Here is a 25484-nt window from a genome sequence, read left to right on the forward strand (position 1 = left end):
CCTGTAATCCCAGCTACTCAGGAGGCTGAGGCAGGAGAATCACTTGAACCTGGGAGGTGGAGGATGCAGTGAGCCGAGATCGCACCACTGCACTCCAGCCTGGCGACAGAGCAAGACTCTGTCTCAAAAGAAAAAAAAAAAAAAGGAAATAATGACATTTTCACTGCAGGACGGCTGGGAAAATAAAAGTGAGAAAATAGGTGGGACATTCCCTGGCACAGTGCTTGGTGCATATTAGGTTCTTAATAAATTAACCTTCTATTTCCCTTCTCCTTTCTTGACTTTTTAAAGAGTTTGACCAACCCCATAGTCTCATTCATTCTGTGGATAAAGTATTCAGGTGCATTTTCCCAGAGCCCCTTGTGGGAATCACATGTGGATCCCTCGGTGCATTTCAGCACCCTCACTGCATGCTTTCTTGCAGTGGCTCGTCCTGGGTCATACCTTGCGGAGGTGGGCGTGGCTGGGGCTGGCCTAGCTGAGGCCCCAGCTGGGCTTGCCCTGGGGATTTCGCTGATTTAATCTGTGGAGCCTAGAGCAGAAGAGAAAAGAAGCCTGTTGGTATCACCACAGCCCTTTACTTCCTGGGTGAGAGGGCAGCATTTATGAAGATCTTTTTATCATTGAGAAGAGACTCTTACACATAAAGTGTACAGTTCTGGAGTATACAGTGTAGTGAAGTTCTATATGTGTATACGTCGGTGTAACCACTGCCCAGATCAAAACAGAGGGCATTCTCTGCGATAAAGCCTGCCCCGTGCCCCTTCCCAGCCAGCAGCCCCGTCAGTATAATAACTACGATTCTGATGTTTGTTATCATAGATTACTTTCTGTGGGGAAATCTGGGGTGGGAGGTGGAAGTTTGGGGACTTGCTTTTACATAAAGCTGGGGAGCTGGCAAATTCTTTGGAGAGCAGTCTGGTAATCCATGGTGGGAACTGTGGAGGGGAGGAGCGACGTGGGAGCTCATCGAGGTTGGGGAAAATGGGAGACACAATAGCGTCCATTGACTGGTTCCCTGGGAGCACACAGAGGGCTTGTGTGTCCATATGCTCTCGCACACGCACGCACACACATCCTGCTCAGGCCCAGCACCGAGGGCACAGAAGGGACAGCAGTCGATCATCTCTGCCCACAGTGCCCAAAGGCCATTTGAGACAAGATTGTTCTCCCCAGGATGGTGAAGAAGGGAAGGGGCCTCTGAAAGCCTCCTCAATTCACTTACTGGGGCAGGCTGTGAAAGCTCTCCCCAATGTCTGGCCTTCGTCCACACCCCCATTCCTTCTCCCCAAGGTGGTTTCTTCCTGGGGGTATCCCCTTTGGATCCAGGGGCTCCCCATTTCCAGACAGCCTGGCATTTCTCATGGCTATAAAGTCTCCTTTGATCGTGAGGGTCTTACCCAAGGTCTGAGGGGGGAGGGCGCTGTGCCTCCTGGCATCGGGAGCTGGCTCATTTTGGAGACAACAAGGTCGGCCATCAGCTGTCTGTCCTCTTCCACATGCTCTCCAATCAGCGGCATTGAGCTGTCCATTACCTGTGGGGAGGAAGGGAGAGCTGAGGGACCCCCATGCCAGGAGAGATGGCGGTTGGGCATCACATCCCAGAAGTGGGGGCTCAGGGCTCAGGACAGAAGTGACCACCAGATGGCGATGTCCTCCATGCAAATCACCTCCAGCTGGGACTGGCCGGCAGCGACATCAGTTCCCTTCGGTTCAGTCTAAACCACTCCCTGGAGGTAGTTCAATTCGGCCCACGTTTGCTGGATGACAGCAATGCGACAAGGGCCAGGGAGCCTCTGCCGACCTTTTCTGTGCTTTTCTTTGGGGAGCCGCTCTCCGCCCCCTCCTTTCTCACCCTGGCCCCCTCCCAGGGTCGGGGCTGGCCACCTCTCCTTTGGCCCCAGGTCAAGGCTGCTTTCCACAAAGCAGAAACAGTAAAGGTGGGGGCTTGATCATGACAAAAATATGACGCGGGCTGGAGTTGACCCAGGGTTCAGAGGAAAGAGGGAAGAGGAAAGGCCTGTTTTCCGAGGCCCTGGCAAAACACAGGCGGGAGGGAAAAGCATTCCACAGGGAGCTGGGCTGTTCTCAAAGTGCTTCTATCGGGAGGAACCTGAGGGATCCGAGTTTCCCCTTCTGCTGTTTTTACAAATAGAGCAACTGAGGCCCAGAGATGGGAGGGGACTTGCCCAAGGTCACACAGGCCAATGCTCCACGTGATTCCCTGGGCATGGGAAGCTATGGGAGATCTGGAAGGGGTGTCTGTCAGGCCTTGGCGCATCTGCGGAACAGCTGGCCGCGTCACCCTCTCTGCTCCACTGCAGGAGTCGGCGGCCTGCATTCACCCACGCCACCCCATCAGACTCACCGTCTTGTCTCCCCTGTTCCCACGCTCTGGACATATTAGGTTTTCTCTCTCCTCCAGGTTCTTATGTAATCCCTCTACCCACTCCTTACCTGGCCAACTCCTTTCATCCAACAGGGAACAGCTAACTAGGTCTTCCTCCAGGAAGCCCTCTCTGATAGTGCAAGCTCTGACGAGCCACCTGACAACTGTATCCTGCCGTTCTCACCTGGTTTCACACGGGACAGCTTATCCACGGCACTGTCACCCCTTGCTTACTATGTCTCCACCACCAGACTGGGAGCCCCCAAGGTTAGGAATGGGCCCCGTGTCCTGCTAAGCAGGTGTGCCCTCCACAGACACCTGTTTAGTGGAGGAATAAGACGCCCTTGTGATAAGCCCGGCTCATAAGGATAAGGATACTAAGAAGCGCCGTATTTTATGGGGCATTTCCTACGTGCTACGCTCTATTCTAAGCATTGGGTGTGGAGGATCTCTCATAAACCTCAGAATAGCTCTTTGAGGCAGTACTATTATCCTCATTGTAATCAAGAGGAAGCAGAGGGTCAAAGAAGTGGCAAGGTCAAGGACACAGCACTGGCAACCCACGGTCCTCCCACTGCATCAGGCTAATTCCCACCAAGCACTGGAACAGCACACCAGGGTAGGAACTGAGAAGAGGGAACCTGGGTTCCAGGCTTGGCTTCTGCTGTGTATTTGCTCTGTGATCTTGGGCAAGTTTCTTTTCCTCTACGGGCCTATTTTTTTTTTTTTTTTTCTCAACAGTGAACTGAGGGATCTGGGCAGCTGCTAAGACCCTTCCAGCTGGGACTTGTAGGGATCTGTGAGTTTAAGCACCCACTTTGATTAGGAAACTGAAAAGCTAGCTTAAGAATGTGAATACTGGCTGGGCGCGGTGGCTCACGCCTGTAATCCCAGCACTTTGGGAGGCCGGGGCGGGCGGATCACGAGGTCAGGAGATTGAGACCATCCTGGCCAACACGGTGAAACCCCGTCTCTACTAAAAATACAAAAAAAATTAGCCGGGCGTGGTGGCAGGTGCCTGTAATCCCAGCTACTCGGGAGGCTGAGGCAGGAGAATCGCTTGAACCTGGGAGTGTCGGAGGTTGCAGTGAGCCAAGTTGCTCTATTTGTAAGAAGAGCAGAAGGGGAAACTAGGATCCCTCAGGCTCCTCCCCATAGAAGCACTTTGAGAATAGCCCAGCTCCCTGTGGAACGCGTTTCCCTCCCGCCTGGGTTTTGCCAGGGCCCCGGAAAACAGGCCTTTCCTCTTCCCTCTTTCCCCTGGCGACAGAATGAGACCCCGTCTCAAAAAAAAAAAAAAAAAAAAAAAAAAAAAAGAATGTGAGTACTGCTTCTAGCAGGGTCCTGAGCTCTGCGCAGGTCGTACCTGGGACTGAGGCCTCCTGGATCCCAGCGCCCCAGACAGGGACAGTCTCTCAGTCACCACTGGCTGAGCTCTGACTGTGGAGTCTGCCGCGAAGGTACACAGGCTTGCTGCACCCTGCCTGTCCTCTCTCCCCCTGCCCCTGCCAACCCCATTTTATTCTGGTCTCTGTTTCCTACATTCCCTGCAGTGGAAAACAGCCACCGCAAGGAACCTGAGGTTCATTTTGGAATCCCCACGGTAGAGACAGCCAAAGGAAGTGGCCACCCTCGTCTCCCCAGGGAAACATTTTTCCAGTGAGCAATGTCATTCCCCGGACAAGGTCAGAGAGGACAAGTTCAAGGGTCTTTTCCCCTGAGTATTTCACTGTGAGCCTCTTCACAAAACATTTCACACACATTTTCAGTTCTCACCACAGAGATGGCTGAAGAAACCAGTGTTTTGGGATCTCTTCTGCCTTTTTTTTTTTCCCTTACTGGGGGAAAATACCTTTTATATTTCTGGTAACAAGCTTCCCATCTCCCCTGACCCCACTCCAAACTCAAAAGCAAAGGAAACAACTCTGCAATGTTTCTGCGAGGAAAAAAAAAATCTGAAAAGCTATCTTTCATTTTTCCCCTGGAACATTCTTGGGAGACGTTGTTTTCTTATTTTTTGAAGTCCGAGCCCACTACTTTTACTTTTTTTTTTTTTTTTTTAATGTGAAAGGTCTTTCATCCCCAACCCTCTGAATGGCTAAAGGCAGGAAGCCTGAGCCCATGAACACAGATTTTTTTTTTTTTCCCTAAGACTGAAAGCTGAGACCCGGAGAGGTAGGGGCTCACAGGGGACAGAGAGACTGCTGGTGCAAGGGAGGAGCTGGCCTTTGGGGGTCAGGGCAGTCCGGGAGCTCTAGGAGACAGGGCCCCTGCTCTTGTGTTTGCAGTTGTACTGTGTCCACCTGGCTTGGGGGCTGGCTCCTGGAGCAGCGGCTCAGTGAATAAACAAATGAGTGCGTGTGTGCCAAATCTGGGTTCATGTCTGGTGGTCCCCGTGAGGGGATGCAGAGGCAGGAGGACCTGGTGGGGTCTCAGGAGCTGCCGTGCTGGGGGTTCCTGCCCCACCTCTGGGCTGAAGCTCCCAGAAGGCGAGGGACCGGCTCCTCCAGGGAGCAACTGTACAGGTCAAGGAGTCTGTTCCCAGCCCCTTCCATGGCTCCTCCAAGTAGGGGCTACTTGGGGAACTTCAGGTGTGGTGGCGGCCAGAGGGAAGGCGTTTCCGGGCCTTGAGAGGAGAGCTGTTCTCCAGAGTGGGACTAGGTCTGCTAATGCAGATGCAGCTCTTCCTGCAGGAGCTTCCTGGCCTCTCTGGGGAGGAGAGAGGGGCTGTGTTCATCCTGGACTCCCTCCTCCTACCTCCAAGGCCTGGGTGTGAACACCCTCCTGGCATGACTGGGCTCCCACCCACTGAGTCACCTGGTCCTGCTTGGCCGTGGGCCCCTGGGGAGCGAGGCAGACATGAGAGACGGGAGGACCGGCTGGCTCCTGTGGTCACCCCAGCCATGTGCTTCCCATTAGCCGCCCACACCCCGGGGAGGGGACGGCCGCAGGGCTCTCCCTCACGTGTCCTGGCCTTGTGTCAGCACCGCCCATGGAAGGAGGGGGCTGGACGCGGCACTGGAGCTGTGAGTGTGGAGATGGGAAGTTATGGCGGACTCTGAGGCCAGAGGGGCCTTTTCAGGGGAAAGCAGTGGAGAGCCATGGGACATGGAGTGGGGGGGCAGGGAAGAAGAGTTGGGGAGGGGACGGGAGGGCTGTGGGACCGTGAGAGACACTGGGAAGACATGGAGGAGAGGTGGGGGTTAGTGGGATACGGGGAAACAGAGAGAGGAAGCGGCGGGGATGGGAGGACTATAGGATTGGGAGAGGCATGGGCTGCTGGAGGGTCTTGAGAGAGATTCCGGGACCCACAGCCCCTCTGTGAGCCCTCTGTTACCATTCTGTTTCCCTACATCTTTCCCTCTATTCATGCCCCTGTACCATTCCATCCCCCTTCCAAATCCTCAATGCTCTGCCACTGTTTCTCACCCTCTCCCCTGCCAGCCTGCACACCCCATGTCTATTATGTCCACGGCTGTATCCCCAGAGCCACACCCATGCTTAGCCCATGGGAGCCCCCTAAGGCCATGTTTGTTGAATGAACAAATGATGGACTGTCTGCATGGTGACCAAGGAAGGTGCCCATTTCACATGCTTGGACACTGGGGAAATGGAAGGGGCCCCATGGGACAGTATCTTGTTGACCCTTGACCAGATGCCCTTTCCTTCCCTTAGGCCTGTGGGTTGGGGATGTTGTTCAACCTCGGGCCCTGAGGTCTCCCGACTCAGTTCCAAGTCCCCAGGCATGAAGCCTTTCGATGCCTCTGAGGGTGGGAAGGAGCCTCCAGAAGCAACTCACTGAGGCCTGGGTTGCGTGTGCCCTGGAGCCAGGACACAGCTGATGGTGCCAAAGACCATGCAGGGATTCCCTCCCCCTGGCACGCCTGCCAGGCTGGACCAGCCAGGAGGACTCCCTGCTTCATCCCTCACCTCGATGATGTAATCTCTGCCATCCTTGCTGTGGACAGCCTTGACGGCACAGATGTCCAGGCCGCCAAACATTTCCGAGCAGCTGTCCACCCACAGCCTGTACCTGCAGGGACAGATGGACAGACAGTGAAGTGGCCTGGGAAAGTGGGGAAGCGGGTAGAGGGAGAGAAGTGGATTCACATGGAAAAACAGGCAGGGAGGGACAGTGACTCACACATCCAGACGGCGATGGAGAGAGACAGAGAAGCAGCAAGAGAGACAGAAAGACGGAGAGAGAGTTGGAGTCCAACACGCAGAGACAGAGAGGCAGGGAGAGAGGCAGGGACACACATGACAGTGAGAGAGAGACCCAGAGAAAGAACACGAGAGAGCCAGGAAGGAGGGGAGAGAGGCAGGGAGAGAAGGAACCAGAGTTGGGAGAGGTCTCCCCCGACCCCAGGACTTGCTGGCTCTGCAGTAATGGGGAGCTTGCCCTGTCCCCATCCGGAGTCATCCTGGACACCCAGCCACCCCTGTGTCCCTTTTCCCTTGGGAAAGCTGCTCCAAGGGCTCCAGAAGTCCCTCCAGGCTGCCCTTCCAGTCCCAGCCCTGGCCGGACAAGAGGCTGTGGAGGACAAAGGGTGCATTTTTCCCAGGGCCCGGGGCGGGTGGGCTGGGGAGACTGGCAGGCTGCTTCTGCCTCGCCCAGGGGGCCTGGCCCTCTAGACCCACTGCTTTTGTTCCCTTTCCAGCCACTTGATGTCTGCAAGGCCAGTTTGCTTTGCTGGGGACAGATCTCAGCACTGGACTCTGACCCTGCAACAAGGGGGTGGTTGTATGTGAAGAAACTGTTCCAGCTTTGCACTTAGCTTCCCCTGTGGGCTGGATTTGGGAGTCACAGGGGACTCTGTGTCAATGTTCTTGCTTCTCACTCTCCAGGGTCACACGGGGCACGCCTACTCTCACATCGCTTTGCGTCTCTGAGCCACAAGTGCTGGGATGAGGAGGGACTGTGACTGGAATGCTCTTAGAATGGAGTCTCATCTCATCCACCAAAGCCTACTGAGGCCCAGAGAGGGAGGGTGGCTGGTCCAGATCACACAGTAAGGTGTAAGAACACCAGGATTCCCTCGATCTCCTTGACTCCCAGTCCAGTTTTCTCATTCAGCTGTAGCACGGAGCATGTGAGATCATCAAATAAAAAGAAGGATGGAGACTCACACCCATGGAGCTCCTGGTATGTTCCAGGCATTCTGGGCCCGGGGGCTGACTCCTCATTCCCTCGAATCCCAGCACAACTCTATGAGGAAGGTTTTAACCCATCTTACTGATGGAGGAACAGGCTCAGAGCGATGATTAAGTGACTGTACCGCTTCCAAATCCAGATCCTGTCTGATTCCAGCTTCCAAGCAAGCCACCCTTCCTCTCATTCTGAAGGTGCCCCAGCCCATCCATTCTCACTCAGCATGGGAGACCAGGGACCTACATTCTTGCTATTAATTCCTTAATAATTTTGGAAAAGCCTCTCCCTCTTATCATAAAATGGGAAAGCCTAGATCTGATTCTGGTTGTACATCAGAATCACCAGGAGAGTTAAACGCACAAACAGCCAGACTTGGGGCTCCACCCTATGTTAGAGTAATTTCTATAATTTTTTAAAGCTTTTCATGTGATTCTGATACGTGGCCACGTTTGGGGACAACCTTGGGTCCTTGGAGCTCGAAGAATCCTCTGGGCTCTCTGATCAGGGTCCTCGTTTTTGGCCCCAGTGGCTGACTTGTGGGTGCCACACACAGGGTGAGCTCTGCCCTGAGACACACTCATAAATCAGGTTTCTTCTCAATGGAACGTGGAAATTTGAGCTGAGGTCCAGAGGCAGCTGTTTCCAGAGGCTGTTTTGAAAGGATGAACCTTGGGGTCCCCTGCTGGCTACGCCCCATAGGGCACAGGCATCCCAGGGTCTAGGAAGGGGCTGCAGGCGTACAGCAGCGTGAGAGTGCTTGGAGAATCGGGGGGGGGGCCCTGCTCCCCTCCTGCCAGGTGGGACTAGCACTGACCAAGCGACATCATTGGTTTTGCCCAGGAGTCAGGCCACCTGGCAAGCAGGCGAGCCAGTGGAGGGCGGGGTCAGGCCCTGTGTATGAGTCCCTGTATGGATTTTGCTCCTGTGGGGATAGGACTGGGGATCTCTCCAGCCCAGACCCTGGAGTTCTGCCTGTGATTGGAAAAGGGAAAGTGGATTCCAGGCCTGGGCAGGCCCACTCCCACGTTAGGTTCCTCCAGGGATGGCCCATGCAGCCTGGGACTTGGCAGAGCCAGGGATAGGTGGCCTGCTGGGGACATCTGTGAGTGGCTCAGGAGGCACTGGGGAAGGCTGGGCTCACATTCCGGAAGGGCCATAGAGAAGATGGCCACGACTGTCCCGTGAACACCTGTTGGGGGAAGGAGGTGACTGCCTCAGCCACATGATTCAGTCGTGCCAGGTCATGAGCGCAGCCTCCAAGAGACTCATTAGCACAGGTGGGTTCCCAGGTTGAAGGTGGCAGCTGCCCCCTGGGGTTGATGGGAAGGACAGGTGTTCCTCCCTGCCAGGGGCTGGTTCTGGATTAGGTGCAGCCCTCTCTCATTCAGTCCTCACACCTGCACTCTGACTTGGGTATTACTACTGCTTTCGTTTTGCAGTTGAAGAAGCTCAGAAAGCATGAGCATGCCTAAGGTCACACTCAGTCTTTGTTGCTGTAGGGGATGCTCCCACTCCAGTCTCCAGGGGTGCAGACCTGACATAGGCCTCCAATCACAGCGTTGCAGTGTCTTGGGCCATAGTGATTGGTTCAGGGATGGTCATGTGACCTAAGCCAGGCCAACCAGTACATATGGCTCAGTTCTAGGCTTTGGTTGAAATGACTGGGAAACAGAAGTTTTCCTTCTTTTGAACCTGACACTGTGAGGATGAAAGCCTGGAGCCACTGTGTGCCACCATGAAATGAAAGAGCCTGCCTGGATGAAGCCAACACACAAAGAAGCTGAACTTGGGTGGGCAGAGGAGGAGCCTTAAGGCCTTACCTGACACTGTATATCTGGAGTCGTCAGTGACATGAGCCAGTAAATCCCCCTTTCTGCGCAAACCAATTTGGTTTGTGTGGTAGCCCTTGCAACCGATACAGAGTTCTTAGAGGGAAGGATTGGATTTTTTCATCCTTTAGCGCTCAGCACAACATGGCCTGCAGTAGGTACTCAATAGGTGTTTACTGAACAGAGCTTTTTGAGTTCACAGCCCATGCTCTGTCCATTGCTATTGTGTGGCTGCTAGCAGAGGTCACAGGGCATGCAGGCAAGAAGGTATGTATGTGGCAGGCCCTGAGACCAGCTGACTTGGCCCTTCGACCCTTCCCCCCCTTTTTTTTTTAAACAGAGTTTTGCTCTTTTTGCCCAGGCTGGAGTTCAATGGCACGATCTCAGCTCACCGCAACCTCCGCCTCCTGGGTTCAAGTGATTCTCCTGCCTCAGCCTCCCGAGTAGCTGGGATTACAGGCACCCACCACCATGCTTGGCTAATTTTGTATCTGTAGTAGAGATGGGGTTTCACCATGTTGGCCAGGCTGGTCTTGAACTCCTGGCCTCAGGTGATCTGCCCGCCTCGGCCTCCCAAAATGCTGGGATTACAGGTGTGAGCCACCGCACCCGGCCGGCACTTCCTTAAGTGGGGCTGGCACACAGTGTCTAAAGGGAGAAAGACCGAAAAACCCTTCAGCCAGAGAGCATCCCTAAAACATGCATGATTCATGGGACGTCAACCTTTCCCTATTCATATTGAGATGGAAGGACGCTTGAGAGAGAAGTGGACTCTCCAATATGCCTGGTCTCCTAATAATGCTTCCTTGCAGCTGTCAGAGCACAGGAGGGACTGGCCAGGGCTTCCTGACCTCTTCCTATAGCAGCTGGTCAGGGCTGGAAAGACCTCGGACTTGGAGTCATGACATCAGGGTTCTACTCTCAGCTCTGTCATCAACTAGCTCTGTGATCCTAGACAAATCACTTCCCCTCTCTGAGTTTTCTTCTCCCATCTGTAAAATGGGGTTATTTTAATACCTGCCCTGTAGGTTGCTGTGGGCAGTGAAGATGATCATGTCTAAAAAAGTGCTCTGTGGATGGTGAGGCACTGGACGGAGGGCGGAGTGGCCTTCTCTTCAGGGCCTTTTGTTGCATTCCCCCTTCAGCTCCTACTATGGCCAGTGCCTCTCCCTACACCTCCTTTGTCTCTTACCTCTCTGTCATGGCCACCTGCTCCAGCATGGCAGAGCCTGTGTTGGCCTTCCAGTTCCCAGAGATGGAGGTTCTCCTGTACCAGAACAAACAACACATTGAGGGAATTAGGGACCCTCGTCACTGATCTGCTTTCCTTCTTTGCTTTGGCTGTTAGGAGGCTCTGATTCAAATAACTGGCTCACGTAATGGCATGTATTCTTACGTACACACCTTGTCTTCAACTATATTTTCCTATGTTTATTTCCCTTCATGCTGTTTGCCTTTTTTATTTGTTGGATCCTAGGTATTGTTTTCTAAGTCATCTTTGAAATTGAAAGATTAAATTAAAAAATGCCTACATCATCTGATGAAATCCCCCAAACTTTGGCCTGTTTTTGAGGAGAATGAGGGCAGTGTGTATAGCCCCTGGTGATTCTGGAATCTTTTGAGGGCCCCAAAATGTTAGAAAAGTGATCCTTAGAGAGAAGTGACTACTTTTCTCTGGTGAAGATTAGGAAGGCCTTCTGGTCTCTGACTGTCTTGCCATCCTTCTCTGTTTCCTTGCCCTTTCTGCTCCAGTAACAACCGACCTCCCTTCCGGTGCTCCACTGCCCATGGCTCTTTCCCAATGTCATGGCCTCTGCAGGTCTTCTTCCCTTTACTCCGTACAGTCTTTGTCTCCATCTTTGCCTCCCTAAGTCCTGCTCATCCTTCAGGTTTCATCTGACATACGACTTCCTGACAGCCCACCTTTACACAGCAAAAATAGACTGCCCGGTACTACGCCCTACACTAATGCTCAGTAATGCTCATCTCCCTTCTGATGACTGCATTAGTGTCCTCTCTTCTCTGATGGAGGAGAATCCTGACGGTAGGGGACATGTTTAACTTCATCCCCTGTATACCCAGTATCCAGTGGGATCCGGCAGGTAGTAGGTGCCCAGTAGGCACCTACTGGGTGAGGAACTGTGTACACTGGGGGAGAATCCAGACAAGCTATCTATCACTAATGATGCATCTGGCCTCGGCAAAGACTGAACGAGTTTAAGCATAGTGGTGGAGGTAAAGCTATTTGTCTTACGGTCAAGGGAAGCTATGTCATTGAGATCAAAGGGTGAACTGGTGAGAGGAATTGACACAAAAATGTATCATTGTAAGAGAAAATTGAAGTAAAAATGCTGAGAATAGATGACCACCAGGAGCCATAAGGCACTGCACCGTAGTTGGCAAGGTTGTTTCCCATGGAGCTACAGGTGAACCATTCTGAGACTGGGCACATACACTGAGATGGAACCAAAAAAGTGGAATAGATGGTGGATGGGGGAGCTGGATTTTTCTCTGTTGGAGTGGGAAGTTATAGATTAGCAATCAGGAAAGGCTAAAATGAACGAAGTGGTACCAGATGAAAGTCAGGGACATCCATAGGACTCTGTTTAGCTTCATAGGGATGTGGATGGGAACATATAGAAAAAATTATGGATATATGTGTATACACGGGTAAGGATACACACATGTACTTCCTTACTGTGTCTGCTAGGACTTAGAAAGAATGACAGCCCAGTAGCGACAAGCACAAAGGCCCGAGTGCAGGGCAAGGAGTGGGCCAGAGAGGGGGTTGAATGGCCGGGGAAATTCTACACTGAAGTCTGACATGAACCCCCTCCTTTGGAGATGGGCCAGCCCAAGGTCCAGGAAACTCGGTAAGTAATGACAAAGTGGAGCTGTCAGGCCAGGGAGGCTCAGCAGAAAAATGCTGCAATGAGGTAATCCTCAAGAAAAAAAAAAACTGGGACAAGGTGTCGTCAATGTCAAGTGGAAGCTCAAACAATGAAGAGAGGAGGGAAATGATATCATGGCTGAAGGCAGGGGCCTCAGGAACGCACTGGAATGGGCCATAACTCAGAGGGGGCAGGGAGGAGGTGATTTTATCACCCCGAGGCCATCTGAGAGCAGTGGCAGGTCTGGCTTGCCTCACAGGAGGAAGAGGTTGATTAGTGGAATAGGGCAGTTACTCCTCAAGAATGAGCTCCATCCCTTTCCTGGGAACACTTCCTTCTAGGGCAACTGCCTGCACCTCCTCCAGTTTCACAAGCAATGACAGGGCTCAGTAGTTGCAACAGAGACGATATAGCCCGTCAAGCCTAAAATTACCACCTGGCCCTCTACAGAAAAAGTTTGCTGACCCTTGGTCTAGGCAATCCAGGTAGTGCTAAAGCAACCACAGGCAATCCATAAATGGGCGTGCATGGCTGTGATCAACAGAACTGTATTTAGAGACAGGTGGCAGCTGGATTCGGCCTGTGGTTGTGGTTTGCCAACCCTAGCTTAAAGCACAAGCTACCCACACAGAAGCCTGCGGATGGAGGGACTTTCCAGCTGTCCAGGGCTAACCCTTGCAGTCCTCAGATATGGAGCCCTGCACACAGTCAGTGCCCCATAAATGCTTGGCAACCAGGCAACGATTGGCCCTCTGGGGTCTCATCATTTCAAGTGGAACTAACAATAACATTCCAGAGTGAAAGATAGAGAGGGCTTGGAGCAAAGACCTCTCCCAAGAACGAGACAGTCTGCCTATTCCAGAAGTCCCCATTCATCCTTATAACCACAGCCCCATGTAATCCGTGCTTTGTTGAACCACCTCTAGGGTGAAGGCGGGCTGCTTTTCTCTGCCTGGCATTCTTTCCTTTTCCTCTAGATTCAGCACCTCTATTTCCACTGGGCAATGGCTCTGCCCACACTGCATGCCTTCTTATAAAGTTTTCTGCTTTTCTCTAATCAATAAAATGCGATCAAAGTTGGACTAATCAGTACTTTTTCCACGGAATCACAATCTTGAGTTAAGCCTTGAAAATGACTAGGGCAGATTCATTTACCAGTAGGGATGCCATGAAAATTGTTTATTATTATTTCTGGCTGCCCACCTTCCTGGGGCTACTCTGTATCTGAATGTTTCTGAAATTGATAATTGAGTTGGGAGATATTTTTGTTTGCTTTTTTAAAGTTTCTGATAACCCATGGTTTTCTAGTAAATTCCCTTTAAAAACCCATTAAGTTAATGAGATGTGGTTTCTGTTGCTTGCAGGCAGAGAAATCTGGTGTAACCTCCTAACTGGTCTTATTGGCTTCAGAGAAACCGTTCTGCACCTCCCAGCCTCATGGTCACCTTTTTATAAACACAGATCAGACCCTTTGCTCAGAAGAGAAGAGAAAAATACTCCAAAACCCTCAGCAAGGTATTCAAAGCCCTCCTTGATTTGTCCCCAAATTTCTCTCTCAAAGACATATATCCTGTGTGTATGTGCAGTTCCCTAGACATGCCAAGCACCTTTCTTGCTCTGGAGGAAACAGCCCTTGCTTGGGTAGACAGATCTCTGCCCAGGGATAAGCAGTGACTGGACATCAGCCCCTCAGCCACACTGGACAGAGAAGAAGGGCAGTAAGGAGACAGGAAGGAGGATAATGATGCACCCTTGGGTGCAGGAGACAGCGGCTGGACATGCACCTCTGGGCTGCCTTCCTCCCACACTCCCCCAGCCCCTGCCCCAGAGACTCACATGTAAGCCTTGTAGTTGGATCCAATTTTCTGGATGCGGATGTCGTACTTGGAGTCGATGAAGGCCTCGGTGGTGGCGTAGGTTTTGGCCATGGCGACCACGCTGGTGATGTCCTGGAAGTCAAGCTGGTTTTCCACTTTGATCTGTGTGGGAGGATGAGGGGGATGAGTGCCACCCACCCCGTGTTCACTGAGCCCACCCTATGCCAGGAACAAGTGCTCTGTCTATAGACACGAATTCCCTTCAGAAGGTCACCTGCTGGCAGGGGAGACAGACACGGGAAGCAAATCATTCCACCACACACCGCACGAGCTGCAGAGAGGAAGGGAGTGATTCTGCTTGGGTGGTCAAGAAAGCTTTACAGAGGAGGTGAGCTCTGAACTGGGTTTGGAAGGATGAACATGTTTCAGATGGATGAGGTAGGTAGTGGGGCCATCCTCCAGAGATGCACGAGGAACCCACAGTGGGGGAAAGGGCAGGTGGCACAGACTCGCTGATGGGGGATGCGGCACGGGCCATGGGGGAACAGACTGTGGAGGGCCACAGTCTCTGGGAAGGAGCTAGGATTTTTAGCCTGAATTTTCTGGAAAGCCACTGGAAGAGGGAGTGGAGTTTAAATAAGGAAATGGTGTAGTTTGCGTTTTAGCAAAATCACTGAAGCAGCTGTGTAGAGGATGGAATGGATGGGTGTGATATGAGACACAGAGGGGCCATTAGGAAGAAGGGAGCGTGCATGTGTGCATGGTGTGTATGTGTAGGGAGCATGCATGCTGGTGAGTGTTGTGGAGTTTGTGGGAGATGTCTGTGTGTGGTGTGTTTGCATATTTGCTGTATGCTATGTGTGGTATGTTCTTTGTGTATTCATATGTGTGTGTGTATAGTGTGTGATATATGTGTGTGTGGTGAGTTTGCTGTGTGTGCTGTGAGTTGTACATGTGGTGTGTAGTATGCGGTGCTTCTGTGTGTGTGTGTAGTGTGTGATATGTGTGTGGTGTGTTTGCTGTGTGTGGTGTGTGTTGTACATGTGGTATATAGTATGCAGTGCTTCTGTTTGTGTGTATGTGTGTGTGTGTGTGTGTGTGTGCGCGCGCACACAGGCACACACTGGAGAGGCCAGCTTTGCTAGGCCAGAGGCTGGGAGAGAAACTCACACTGTTGACTAGACTGAGCCAGGAACACAGAGAGGTGTCCTGGGCTTGGGGAGAGGTCCCAGGAGAGCTTCCAAGGCCAAGCGCAGAGGACGAGGCCAAGGCTCTATGATAGTGATCTTAAGACAGAACAGAGGCTGACTCCCAGCGGCTGTGGACAGCTGGGCCAGCTGCTCCCTCCCACTGGCCACGGGAGCCCTGCTTGTCCAGAAGCGGCTCCCCACTTCCCTGTCACCCTCACCCCGACAGCAGAGGAGTTCTGATGCTGGGTCAGAGACGGGCAGAGCCCTGTGGAGTGGCCGGGCACTAGGCGGTCCACGTGGGGTTGGTCTCGGCCACACCCCATCTCACGTCCTTCCGATCTTCCTCTCAGCCCTTTTCTGCCTGCCCTTTGTGGCTCAGCTTTGCCTTGGCAACTCTGTCCCTCCCACAAGAATGCCCACTCACATTTCCACCAGCGTTGATGCTTATGCAGAGTCTTTACAGCTCTCCGTGGGGCCCAAACAGGATTGTGAGCAGGCAGGCAGGCTGGGCACTGTCGTGGTCACTTAACAGATAAGGAAACTGAGATTTCTTGACTTGCTCAAGGTTATAAAGCAGCTGAGCCCAGAGCTAGGCTTGAAACTCTGGACTCCGAAGGCACAGCTTTTCCTTGAACCATCTCAGGGGTCTGTAAGTAGGTGCCTGCCTGTTCTACCACAACGGACCTAAACAGCAACAGGAGAGAGGCTGGAAAAGCCATCTCTCTTCTTGGCTCTCTGAGTGATGACTCCAGGTCTCAATTTGCAGAGAAAATAAAGGTGACCAGGCAAGAGTTCCCTATTTTCCAGCCCTTTTCAAACTCAGCTACCCCACTTCTTCCTCCCAGCTGCAGTGGCGGTGGTGTGCCTCCTTCCTTTGTTCTGGGCCTTCTAAGCCCTTGGTTTTAGCTGGGTACCTGGCCTCCTCAGCCAGAGATTACTTTGCTCCAGTCTGTCGTGCGGGTAGATGTGCCTGAGTCTCCAAGCTCTGGCCGGTGAAACCTGGGTAGCCGTGATATTAGCAACCTCTGGGTGGTGCCCTGAAGATGAAAATAATCTTCCCCGTCCTTTTTCCTTCTTTGCTCTGGCAGGGAATGTGAACATGATGGTATGAGCAGCAGCCTCCATCTTGGGCCATGAGATGGAAGCTGCATGTTGAGGATGGCTGAGTAGAAAGATGGAAGGACCTGGGTCACTAGCACTGTGAAGCTCCCTTTCTGAGACAGGGTCTCAATATGTTACTCAAGCTGAGTGCTGTGGCATGATCATGGCTCACTGCAGCCTTGACTTCCTGAGCTCAAGCAATTCTCCTGCCTCAGCCGGCCGAGTAGCCGGGACTACAGGCGTGCACCACCATGCCCGGCTAGTTTTTGATTATTTGTAGAGACAGGGCCTCACTATGTTGACCAGGCTGGTCTCAAACTCCTTGGTTCAAGCGATCTTTCCGCCTCGGCCTTCCAAAGTGCTGGGATTACACACTCGAGCCACTGCGCCTGGCCCCTATTATGTGGGTCTTTGTTAAAGCAGCCAAATGACATTTCTGCTCATTATTTTTACTCTCTTGCTTTTCATTGATTCTTTATTCTTTGGATTAACGTGATCAAGGATCCACCATTCTCCTCAACATGTTCCTGCTTTTCAGAACCTCAGTTACGCACCACTGTCTATCTCTACATCTTCATTCCCCACTTGCCCCTCAACCCACTTTCTTTAGGTTTTACTCCCTACCATTCTCCTGAGACTGATTTGGCCAAGGTCCCTTTTAGTCCACTCTTTGGCAAATCCCATAGAATGCCTCTGGTCCTTGCCCTGCGTTGACCCTCTGTAGCACCTGAAATTAGTGAACTTTGGGAAATATGATTTCTGTACCACTGTTTTCCCAGTTCTCACCCTTCTTTCTGGCAACTTCTTCACAGTCTATGTTGCCACCTCTTCTTCCAATGCCCCTTTGATTATCCTGGGGTTTCATCTCAGCCAGTATTCAGGGTCAGGTGGAGAGAATCGGAATTGCCAAAATGAAAGAATCGGGTGAGCGTTTGCAGGGACGGCTTGTTTAACTCACATTTCTGTCCTTGGTGGCCTTGGAAAGAACCAGAATTTCTTTGGCACCTTGGTTTCCTAGACAGCCCTGAGCACAGAGTGGGCTACCTCGGAAGTGTCTAGCTGTCCACAGCATCATTTTCCTGCTTTACAGTCATGATGCACCCTGATATGGGGGGCATGTGTCCATCCAGGGTACACTTTACACTCTCTCCTCTCCCTGGCATCTTCATACCGCTGTGTGGCCACATTTTGGCCAACAAGATGTGAGCGGAAGAGGTGTATGAACTTCCAGGCTGTGCCGTTAAAGGGCAGGGGAGGGCTTTGTACTCCTCGCTTCTCTCCCCTTGCTGGCTGGAGTGTGGACCATCTTTGACAGTGTAGCTGAGGGCAACACACCAGGCATGGATGATCAGTAAGATGGAAGAAGTCCATGGTCATGAAACCATGGTAGTTCCAGGCCAGCCCTGGGCTGCTTTTGTGCAGAGCAGAGAAAGAAAGTCCTAGTTTGTTTATGCCTTTGTAAGTCTTTGTTATGGCAGCTGAAATTTATCCCAATTATTATACAAGCCCTAAGTAAATTTTTGTGGAATACATCATGCATTCTTTCACAGAGTAGACAAAGAGAGCAAAGGGAGAAAGCACAGACATAGTGGTTTAATGCAGGAGTGGGCAGGCGCCCTCTGGGAACCCTTCTCTTCTGTCTTCGTTTGAGTGGTTGTGCACTGGGGTCCCATTCTGTTGTCACCAACAGTGAGCATGGAACCCAGGTCTCTCTCTCTCTCTCTCTTTTTTTTTGAGACAGTCTCACTTACTCTGTTGCCCAGGCTGGAGTGCAATGGTGCAATCTTGGCTCACTACAACCTCTGCCTCCTGGATTCAAGCGATTCTCTTGCTTCAGCCTCTCAAGTAGCTGGGACTACAGGTGCGTGCCACCATGGCTGGCTAATTTTTGTATTTTTAGTAGAGACGTGGTTTCACCATATTGGCCAGGCTGGTCTTGAACTCCTGACCTCAAGTGATCCACCCACCTCAGCCTCCTAAAATGTTGGGATTACAGGCGTGAGCCCGGGTATCTTATACACAGGCATTTCAAAGCTTCAGGAGAGGCCCTGGCCAAATGTTCCTTTTTATTTTATTTTCTATTTCTATTTATTTATTTTTTTAAAGAGACAGGGTCTCACTCTGTCACCCAGGCTGGAGTGCAGTTGTGCAATCATGACTCACTGCAGCCTTGAACTTCTGGGCTCAAGCATTCCTCCCACCTCTGCCACTTGAGTAGTTGGGACTACAGGCGTCACCACATCCAGCTGATTTTATGTTCTTTTTCTTTACAGAGGGTCTCCCACATTGTATGACACCTGGGCAATAAAAAACGGATTCTACCCCTGGAACCACCATTTCTGTCTCCCCATTAGACTGTGAGCTTCTTGAGGACAGACGAGTGTTGTCCCCAGCTGTTGCACTGGTGCCAAGCAGATTGTACATGCTCTACACAAGTTTGCTGGATTGAATTTAAGAAGGTTGGATCAAGACCTGCTTATAATTTGGGAGGGGGGCAAGAAACTAGAAGGAAAAACAAGAGAGTTCCAAAAAAAGGCAAAGAAACTGTTTCAAGGAAACTTGTCTTTTATAAGGTGGATATTTCCATGCATTCTTGGGTAGGTGCTACGCTCTCTGAGGGTTACTGCCTGCCTCACAAGTTCTTGAGAACCGGAAGAATTCCAGGATTCTGGCGAAGAGGGGAGGTGGTCTGGAGCCTCGGTGGGTGGGTGCTGGAGGGGACTCTGGGATGGTCCTCAGGCCAGAGAGGGTAGTTGGGGTGAGAGGGCACTGGGGACACAGCCCTGAGGATGGTGAAATGGCTGCTAGCCTGGGCAGGGAGTCTTGGCACTCCGCTTTATTTACTGGCTGGAAATCCCTCCAAGGGTTCACAAAGACAAGCTGAAAACAGGAAGCCCTCAATGAGCTGTGATTCAAGATTACCCATTTGCTGCCCCAGGGGCTATGATGGGGCCACTGTGAACTCTCCAAAACAGACCCACCCACACCCTTGCCTCCCTCGCCCCTCTTCTCCCTTCTCTTATCTCCTCTCTCCTTCTCTCTCTCCTTTCTCTTGCGTCCTTGCCTTCTCACTCTCTCCTCCCTCCCTTTTCTCCCCTTTCCTCTAACACTCCTTGCCTTCTCTCTTACTCTGTTTTGTTTTTTTGTTGATGTTGAGACAGAGTCTCTCTCTGTCGCCTAAGCTGGAGCGCAGTGGCACAGTCAGGGCTCACTGCAACCTCTGCCTCCCAGGTTCAAGCAATCCTCCACCTTAGCCTCTTGAGTGGCTGGGACTACCGGCGCATGACATCACGCCTGGCTGTTTTTTCTTTGTCGTATTTTTTGTAGAAATGAAATTTCCCCATGTTGCCCAGGCTGGTCTTGAACACGTAGGTTCAGGCGATCCTCCCACCTTGGCCTCCCAAAGTGCTGGGATTACAGGCATGAGTCACCATGCCCGGCCACTCTTCCTTTTGCTTTTAATGCCATCTGTTTCCCTCTTGCACCTCTTTCCTCCTTGATTTTTCCTTGTTGCTTACTTCTTCTCTTATCTTTCTCCAGCCTCTCCCTTCCACCTCCTTCTCTGTCTCCTTCAGTTTTCCTGACCTCTTTTCAATGTTGCCATTCTTCTTCTCCTTCTCATTTCTTCTTCATTCCTTCCTCTCTGTCTTTCCTGCCTCCTTCCCCTCATGGTCTCCCCATTCAGGTTCTCACACTCTTCTCCTCTCTTGCTTTCTGAATTGCTTTACCCTCTTGTGTGCTTGTGTGCACACATGTGTGTATGTGAGTGTGCATGCATGCATGTGTGCTCTGTCCTGAGGCTGAGCAAGGAGGGAGAGTGGAAACAGAGGCAGAGAAAGTGGAGAGAGGAGTCAGGATGCAATTCCAAATCTTCTGAATGGGTTTTGGCTCAGAGGTCTCCTGTTCCAAATTACAAAATCCAACCCGGGATGGGAAAGTCATCTACATACTTAGTAGACTGTCTGCTATTTGCTTGAATATCTCCAATAGCAGGGAGCTTACTATCAGGCAGGGCAGCTCAATCCCTTTTAGGAAACCTCTAACCTGTTCTGGTGTATATCACACCAGGAATGAATGAATGGCCCTCGTTATTCTATGGAGTAAGTCTTAGCCCTCTGCCTTGTGTCTGCACTTCATCCACTTGAAGAGAGCCACCCAGGTGTGCACAAGTCATTCTTTCCTTAACCCATTCCTAATACGAGCTGCTTCCAGGCCCTTCACCATCATGAAACGCCCACATTTGACAACCTCTTAAACTACATAATACCCAGAATTACACAACAGACCCCAGGTGTGGTTTCACCAGCAGAGATCAGATAAGACTGTCCCCTCCCTCTATCCAGAATCCACCTGGCATATTCCTGCCTCAGGGCCTTTGCACTTGCTGTTCCGAGCCTGCATGGGGTTTCACCATGTTGGCCAGGACGGTCTTGAACTCCTGAGTTCAAGCCATCTGCCCACCTTGGCCTGGCAAAGTGCTGGGATTACTGGCTGAGCCATGGTGCCTAGCCTCAGGTTATTTTATTTTATTATTTATTATTATTTTTTTGAGACGGAATCTTGCTCTGTCGTCAGGCTGGAGTGCAGTGGCACGATCTCAGCTCACTGCAACCTCTGCCTCCTGGGTTCAAACGATTCTCCTGCCTCAGCCTCCTGAGTAGCTGGGACTACAGGCGCCCACCACCATGCCCGGCTAATTTTTTGTATTTTTAGTAGAGACGTGGTTTCACCATGTTAGCCAGGATGGTCTCAATCTCCTGATCTTGTGATCCGCCCGCCTCGGCCTCCCAAAGTGCTGGGATTACAGGCGTGAGCCACCGTGCCTGGCCTAAAATATTTATATTTTTATGCCACCTGTTCTAGAAAGAATTTATGGCAAATTTCAAAGATATATAACATACAACATGAGACGTAATTAAAAGCCGGATGATAGTAATTCCACTATTAAACATCCATCCTAAAGATATAATGGAAGACACATGAAATGGTATGCACGCAAGGCTGTTTATTGCAGCACTACGTGTAAAAGAAAGTTTTCTGTCAACAATTGGGCCATGTTCTATGATCTCAGAGGTTTATAGCTCCACCTTAAGCCTTGAGGACAGGATGAAGTTAGATGAGACCCTGAAGACAGGGGTGGGCGGCCTAGAGCTGTGGATGGAGCTGGAGGGATGTTGGGATGGTCCTCTGGCCAGAGGAGGCATTTGGGATAAGAAGGTATGTAGGGCGGACTGCCACCGGGATGGTGCATTGACTGCTGACCCACATGCTCCTCAGCAGGGGACAGCTGCATCCATGGTGCTCCATGCACACAATCGAATGCTTTGCAGTCAAGAGAAGGCAATGAGGAGGATCTACATACTGCTATGGCGTGAAAAAAATAGGGTGCAGAATAATGAGGATAACATGCAAGCTTTTTTTTTTTGTTTGAGACAGAGTCTCCCTCTGTCACCCAGGCTGGAATGCAGTGGCATGATCATGGCTTACTGTAGCTTCAACCTCCTGGGCTCAAGCAATCCTCCTGCCGCAGCCTCCCCAGTAGCTGAGACTACAGGCATGTGCCACCACATCTGGCTAATTTTTTATTTTTTATAGTGACAGGATCTCACCATGTTGCCCAGGCTGGTCTTAAACTGCTGGGCTCAAGCAATTCTCCGGCCTTGGCTTCCCAAAGTGCTGGGATTACAGACATTAGTCACCATGACCAGCCAACATGCAAACTTTTATCAAGAATTTTTTTGTGGACAATGCACATATTTGATTAAAAAAATACAGGCTGGGTGCGCAGGCTCACGCCTGTAATCCCAGCATTTTGAGAGGCCAAAGTGGGTGGATCACTTGAGGGCAGGAGTTTGAGACCAGCCTGGCCAGCATAGTGAAACTCAGTCTCTAGTAAAAATACAAAAATTAGCCAGGCATGGTTGTGTGCACCTGTACTTGGAAGGCTGAGGGAAGAGAATTGCTTGAACCCAGGAGGTGGAGGTTGCAGTGAGCTGAGATTGCACCGTTGTACTCCAGCCTGGGCAGCACAGCGAGACTCTGTCTCAAAAAAAAAAAATGCAATGAAGGAATGAACCAAAACCAAATGAGAATGTTACCTATAGAGGGAAGGGAAGCGGGAGGTGACGGGGATGGAGGCTAGTCCTCACTGTATATATCTTGTTTTTATAATTTTGGCTTTGGAATCAAGCAAAAATGGTTATTAATTATAAAACAAAATAAATCAACTGGAGAAAGAATTTCCTGAAAACAGAAAACAAAATAAAGTTAGTCTAACAATATATTAAGCTAGTGGCTTAAACTTACAGAGAAGAATTATTTCAAGTGACTTTGTAACAGAAGGCTGAGCACGTGGATCTCTGTGATATTCCATTTCTTAGATGAATAAATTCTTACTATTACTTATAACCCACAGTATTATAATATACTTATTTGACTGTCCTTCACACTAGAATTTATTTCTTAACAGCCTGATCAGTAATTGGCACATGGTAGATGTTCTATAATTTGTTTAACCACATTAAAAAAAAAAAAAAAGCTCAACACAACAGTAACTATATATCCCTAGCAGAAAATATCCAAAAGATTTTTTAAAACTGCTAAGAAATATAAAATTTTATTCAACTTGTTAGTAATAATAATGGTATTGCTATTTTAAACCATGATAATAGTAATAATGCTATTAGGACCCAAGATTTTTAAATATAAGAGAAAAGAGATACAATTTTAAAATAAAATAAATAAGTGTTGTAATCTAAGATTTGAATTCAAAATATCAGGATGAATTTATGATGTATTTTTCTCTTAAAAACATATATGCATTTTTCCCTGTGTCTGCCAAAAAGGCCTAGAAATGGCAAAAAAAAAAATAAGAATAAACATATTTAGCACCCAGATTGTGGTCTCTAAAACCCATTATGTTATTGAAAGGCTTCCATGGCTCCTTGGGGAAATGACTGATTCCAGGTTTGGGCAGAAAATGTACAAGATGAGTTCAAAACATCTTATCATGCTAGTAAAAGGAAAGCTACCATGTCAAGAAGACACATAAATCAACTCAAAAGGGCTCCCATTAGCCAAAGATGGGATAACTTGAGTATCAGAAAGAATAGTGACTTCAATAGATTGAAATACATCAAATTGTTAATAACCAATGACAAAAAGATCATTGGTCATGTTTGGAGGGTGCTAAGACACTATCTCACTATTCCAAAATAAATGGGTAAATAACAGTGATGAAGAAATATTCTCTTTGATGTTTTCTAGCTACTAAATGCAAAAGAAATAGAATTAGGACATCATCCTTCTGCAGCCCCTAATGCAATAACAGATTGAGGCAATGCTGATCAATGCCAAGGCCACTGGGGAAAGGCTGATGGGAAACTTGATAATGTGTGGATCAGGCAGACGATACCTGAGCTCAAGGACCACTCTTGACATCTCAACAGAGAGACTTGCCAGTCAGATGTGATGCAAGATAATGGCCCCTACCCCCACCCTGCACCAGGGAAGTATTCTTGCCAGAATCCAGAACCTGATTCAGATAAAAATCTCTGCATTTAACTACTAGTTTACAGGAAATGCAGGTGATAGAGGAACAACATGGAGCTGCCATTGGCCAAATTAGCATGTAGGAAATTCTACAGGAAAAATGGCCTCCCCCCACCAACAAATAAATGACAAGGAAAAAAAAAAAACAGAGGAGACTGAACTGTTATAGATCATAAGAGGCTTATGTCATACTAACCATGTGAATATGAAGGACTTGTCTGCATACAATGGAACACATCAATTAACAGGAGGCTATTGAACACTGATGATATACTAGATGATATTAAAGAATTATTATTATGTTTTTAGGTCTTTGGCTACATTAGAGACAAAAAAAGAAGCTTTTGTGTGTTAGAAATATTCACTGAAATATTTATGGGTGAAATGACTTGATATCTGAGATTTGCTTTAAAATATTCCAGTGATCTACAGAGACAGGAAGCAGAGGAGCAATTGCCAAGGACTTGGGGGAGAGGAATGGGTAGTCACTGCTAATTGATGTGGGATAATGAAAATGTGCTACAATTATACAGCGGTGATGCTTCCACCTTGTAGATATTCTAAAAAACACTGAAGGCCAGGTGCGGTGGCTCACGTCTGTAATCCCAGCACTTTGGGAGGCCGAGGTGGGTGGATCACGAGGTTAAGAGTTGAGACCAGCCTGGCCAACAGGGTGAAACCCTGCCTCTACTAAAGACAAAAATTAGCTGAGAGTGGTGGCGGGCGCCTGTAATCCCAGCTACTTGGGAGGTTGAGGCGGAAGAATCGCTTGAACCCGGGAGGCGGAGGTTGCAGTGGAGCAAGATCGCGCCACTGCACTCCAGCCCGGGTGACAGAGTGAGACTCCATCTCAAAAACAAAAAACAAAAAACAAAAAACTGAAAACACTTTAGAAGGGTGAATTTTATAGCATGAGAATTAGATCTGAAAAAAGTATCCAGAGGTGTTTGAGAGGAAGATTGGAGATGTACATAAAATATAATTGAGCATCAGTGGATAATGGTTGAAGTTGGGTCAAAGGTTTTTCTTTTTTTTTTCTTTTTTTTTTTTTTTAGTGTGAGGCTAAAGGTACATGGGGTTCCAGTTTACCATTTTCTCTTCTTTTGTATATATTTGAAACTTTTAGGTTAAAAACAAGCAGGACTAAAGGAGAAAAACAAAGATGAGGACATAAAATTGTACTTAGACTGGGGTTAACAGTGGTTATGTCTGGATATAGATGTGGCCCCTTTTTTGTGTGTCTGTTGAAGAAAAGAAACTTTGATCAGTAACATGATTCAGTCTCCCTAAGAGGAAAAAGCACGAGGTGCCTAAGAGATTTACAACCCATTCTTGCAATAAAATCATATGATGTTTCTCCTGAGCTCCTCCTATAGAGGACACTGCGATATGTAACAAATGTAAGCCTCAACAATGCTCTTTGATGATTGGCTGTTTCCTATAATGTCACTTAGTTAGGCTTCTGTCTTACTCTACTGGAGCTACTATCACAAAATACCAGAGACTAGGCGGCTTAAACAGCAGACATTTATTTCCCACAGTTCTGGAGACTGGGAAGTCCTAG

At 49.7% G+C, this 25484-nt stretch overlaps 1 protein-coding gene and 1 long non-coding RNA gene across 20 annotated transcripts in view, besides 4 other annotated features; one reads left to right on the forward strand and one right to left on the reverse strand.

Moving 5' to 3' along the window:
* Window positions 1-25484, reverse strand: part of SYN3 (synapsin III) — a 550562-nt gene that overhangs the window by 19654 nt on the left and 505424 nt on the right. For 15 of the 18 annotated variants that reach the window (NM_001369909.1, NM_001369907.1, NM_001135774.2 and 12 more), the window contains 5 exons: window positions 14098-14240; window positions 10563-10637; window positions 6320-6422; window positions 1401-1535; window positions 445-532 (listed from right to left, as the gene is read on the reverse strand). In NM_001369909.1, the coding sequence (NP_001356838.1) occupies window positions 445-532; window positions 1401-1535; window positions 6320-6422; window positions 10563-10637; window positions 14098-14240 (544 nt within the window). The remainder of the gene's footprint in view (window positions 1-444; window positions 533-1400; window positions 1536-6319; window positions 6423-10562; window positions 10638-14097; window positions 14241-25484) is intronic. The other 3 variants (XM_047441529.1, XM_047441528.1, XM_047441530.1) reach the window with 1 other exon arrangement.
* Window positions 1413-1914: an enhancer, noted in NCBI's record as "H3K4me1 hESC enhancer chr22:32924873-32925374 (GRCh37/hg19 assembly coordinates)". NCBI's record gives its function as "activates a minimal SCP1, AML or CMV promoter by ChIP-STARR-seq in primed H9 embryonic stem cells {active_cell/tissue: H9 hESC(primed)}" and the evidence as "EXISTENCE:reporter gene assay evidence [ECO:0000049][PMID:30033119]".
* Window positions 1915-2414: an enhancer, noted in NCBI's record as "H3K4me1 hESC enhancer chr22:32925375-32925874 (GRCh37/hg19 assembly coordinates)". NCBI's record gives its function as "activates a minimal SCP1, AML or CMV promoter by ChIP-STARR-seq in primed H9 embryonic stem cells {active_cell/tissue: H9 hESC(primed)}" and the evidence as "EXISTENCE:reporter gene assay evidence [ECO:0000049][PMID:30033119]".
* Window positions 4218-4855: an enhancer, noted in NCBI's record as "NANOG-H3K27ac-H3K4me1 hESC enhancer chr22:32927678-32928315 (GRCh37/hg19 assembly coordinates)". NCBI's record gives its function as "activates a minimal SCP1, AML or CMV promoter by ChIP-STARR-seq in primed H9 embryonic stem cells {active_cell/tissue: H9 hESC(primed)}" and the evidence as "EXISTENCE:reporter gene assay evidence [ECO:0000049][PMID:30033119]".
* Window positions 4378-23601, forward strand: LOC124905103 (uncharacterized). 2 transcript variants are annotated; one of them, XR_007068066.1, is made up of 3 exons: window positions 4378-5415; window positions 13626-14516; window positions 18643-23601. It is a non-coding gene; the product is annotated as an uncharacterized LOC124905103 (long non-coding RNA). The 2 variants fall into 2 exon arrangements; XR_007068067.1 differs by having other exon boundaries at window positions 13626-14466.
* Window positions 4856-5493: an enhancer, noted in NCBI's record as "NANOG-H3K27ac-H3K4me1 hESC enhancer chr22:32928316-32928952 (GRCh37/hg19 assembly coordinates)". NCBI's record gives its function as "activates a minimal SCP1, AML or CMV promoter by ChIP-STARR-seq in primed H9 embryonic stem cells {active_cell/tissue: H9 hESC(primed)}" and the evidence as "EXISTENCE:reporter gene assay evidence [ECO:0000049][PMID:30033119]".

This window comes from Homo sapiens, chromosome 22 (assembly GCF_000001405.40).
Source record: "Homo sapiens chromosome 22, GRCh38.p14 Primary Assembly".
Classification (NCBI taxonomy): Eukaryota; Metazoa; Chordata; class Mammalia; order Primates; family Hominidae; genus Homo; species Homo sapiens.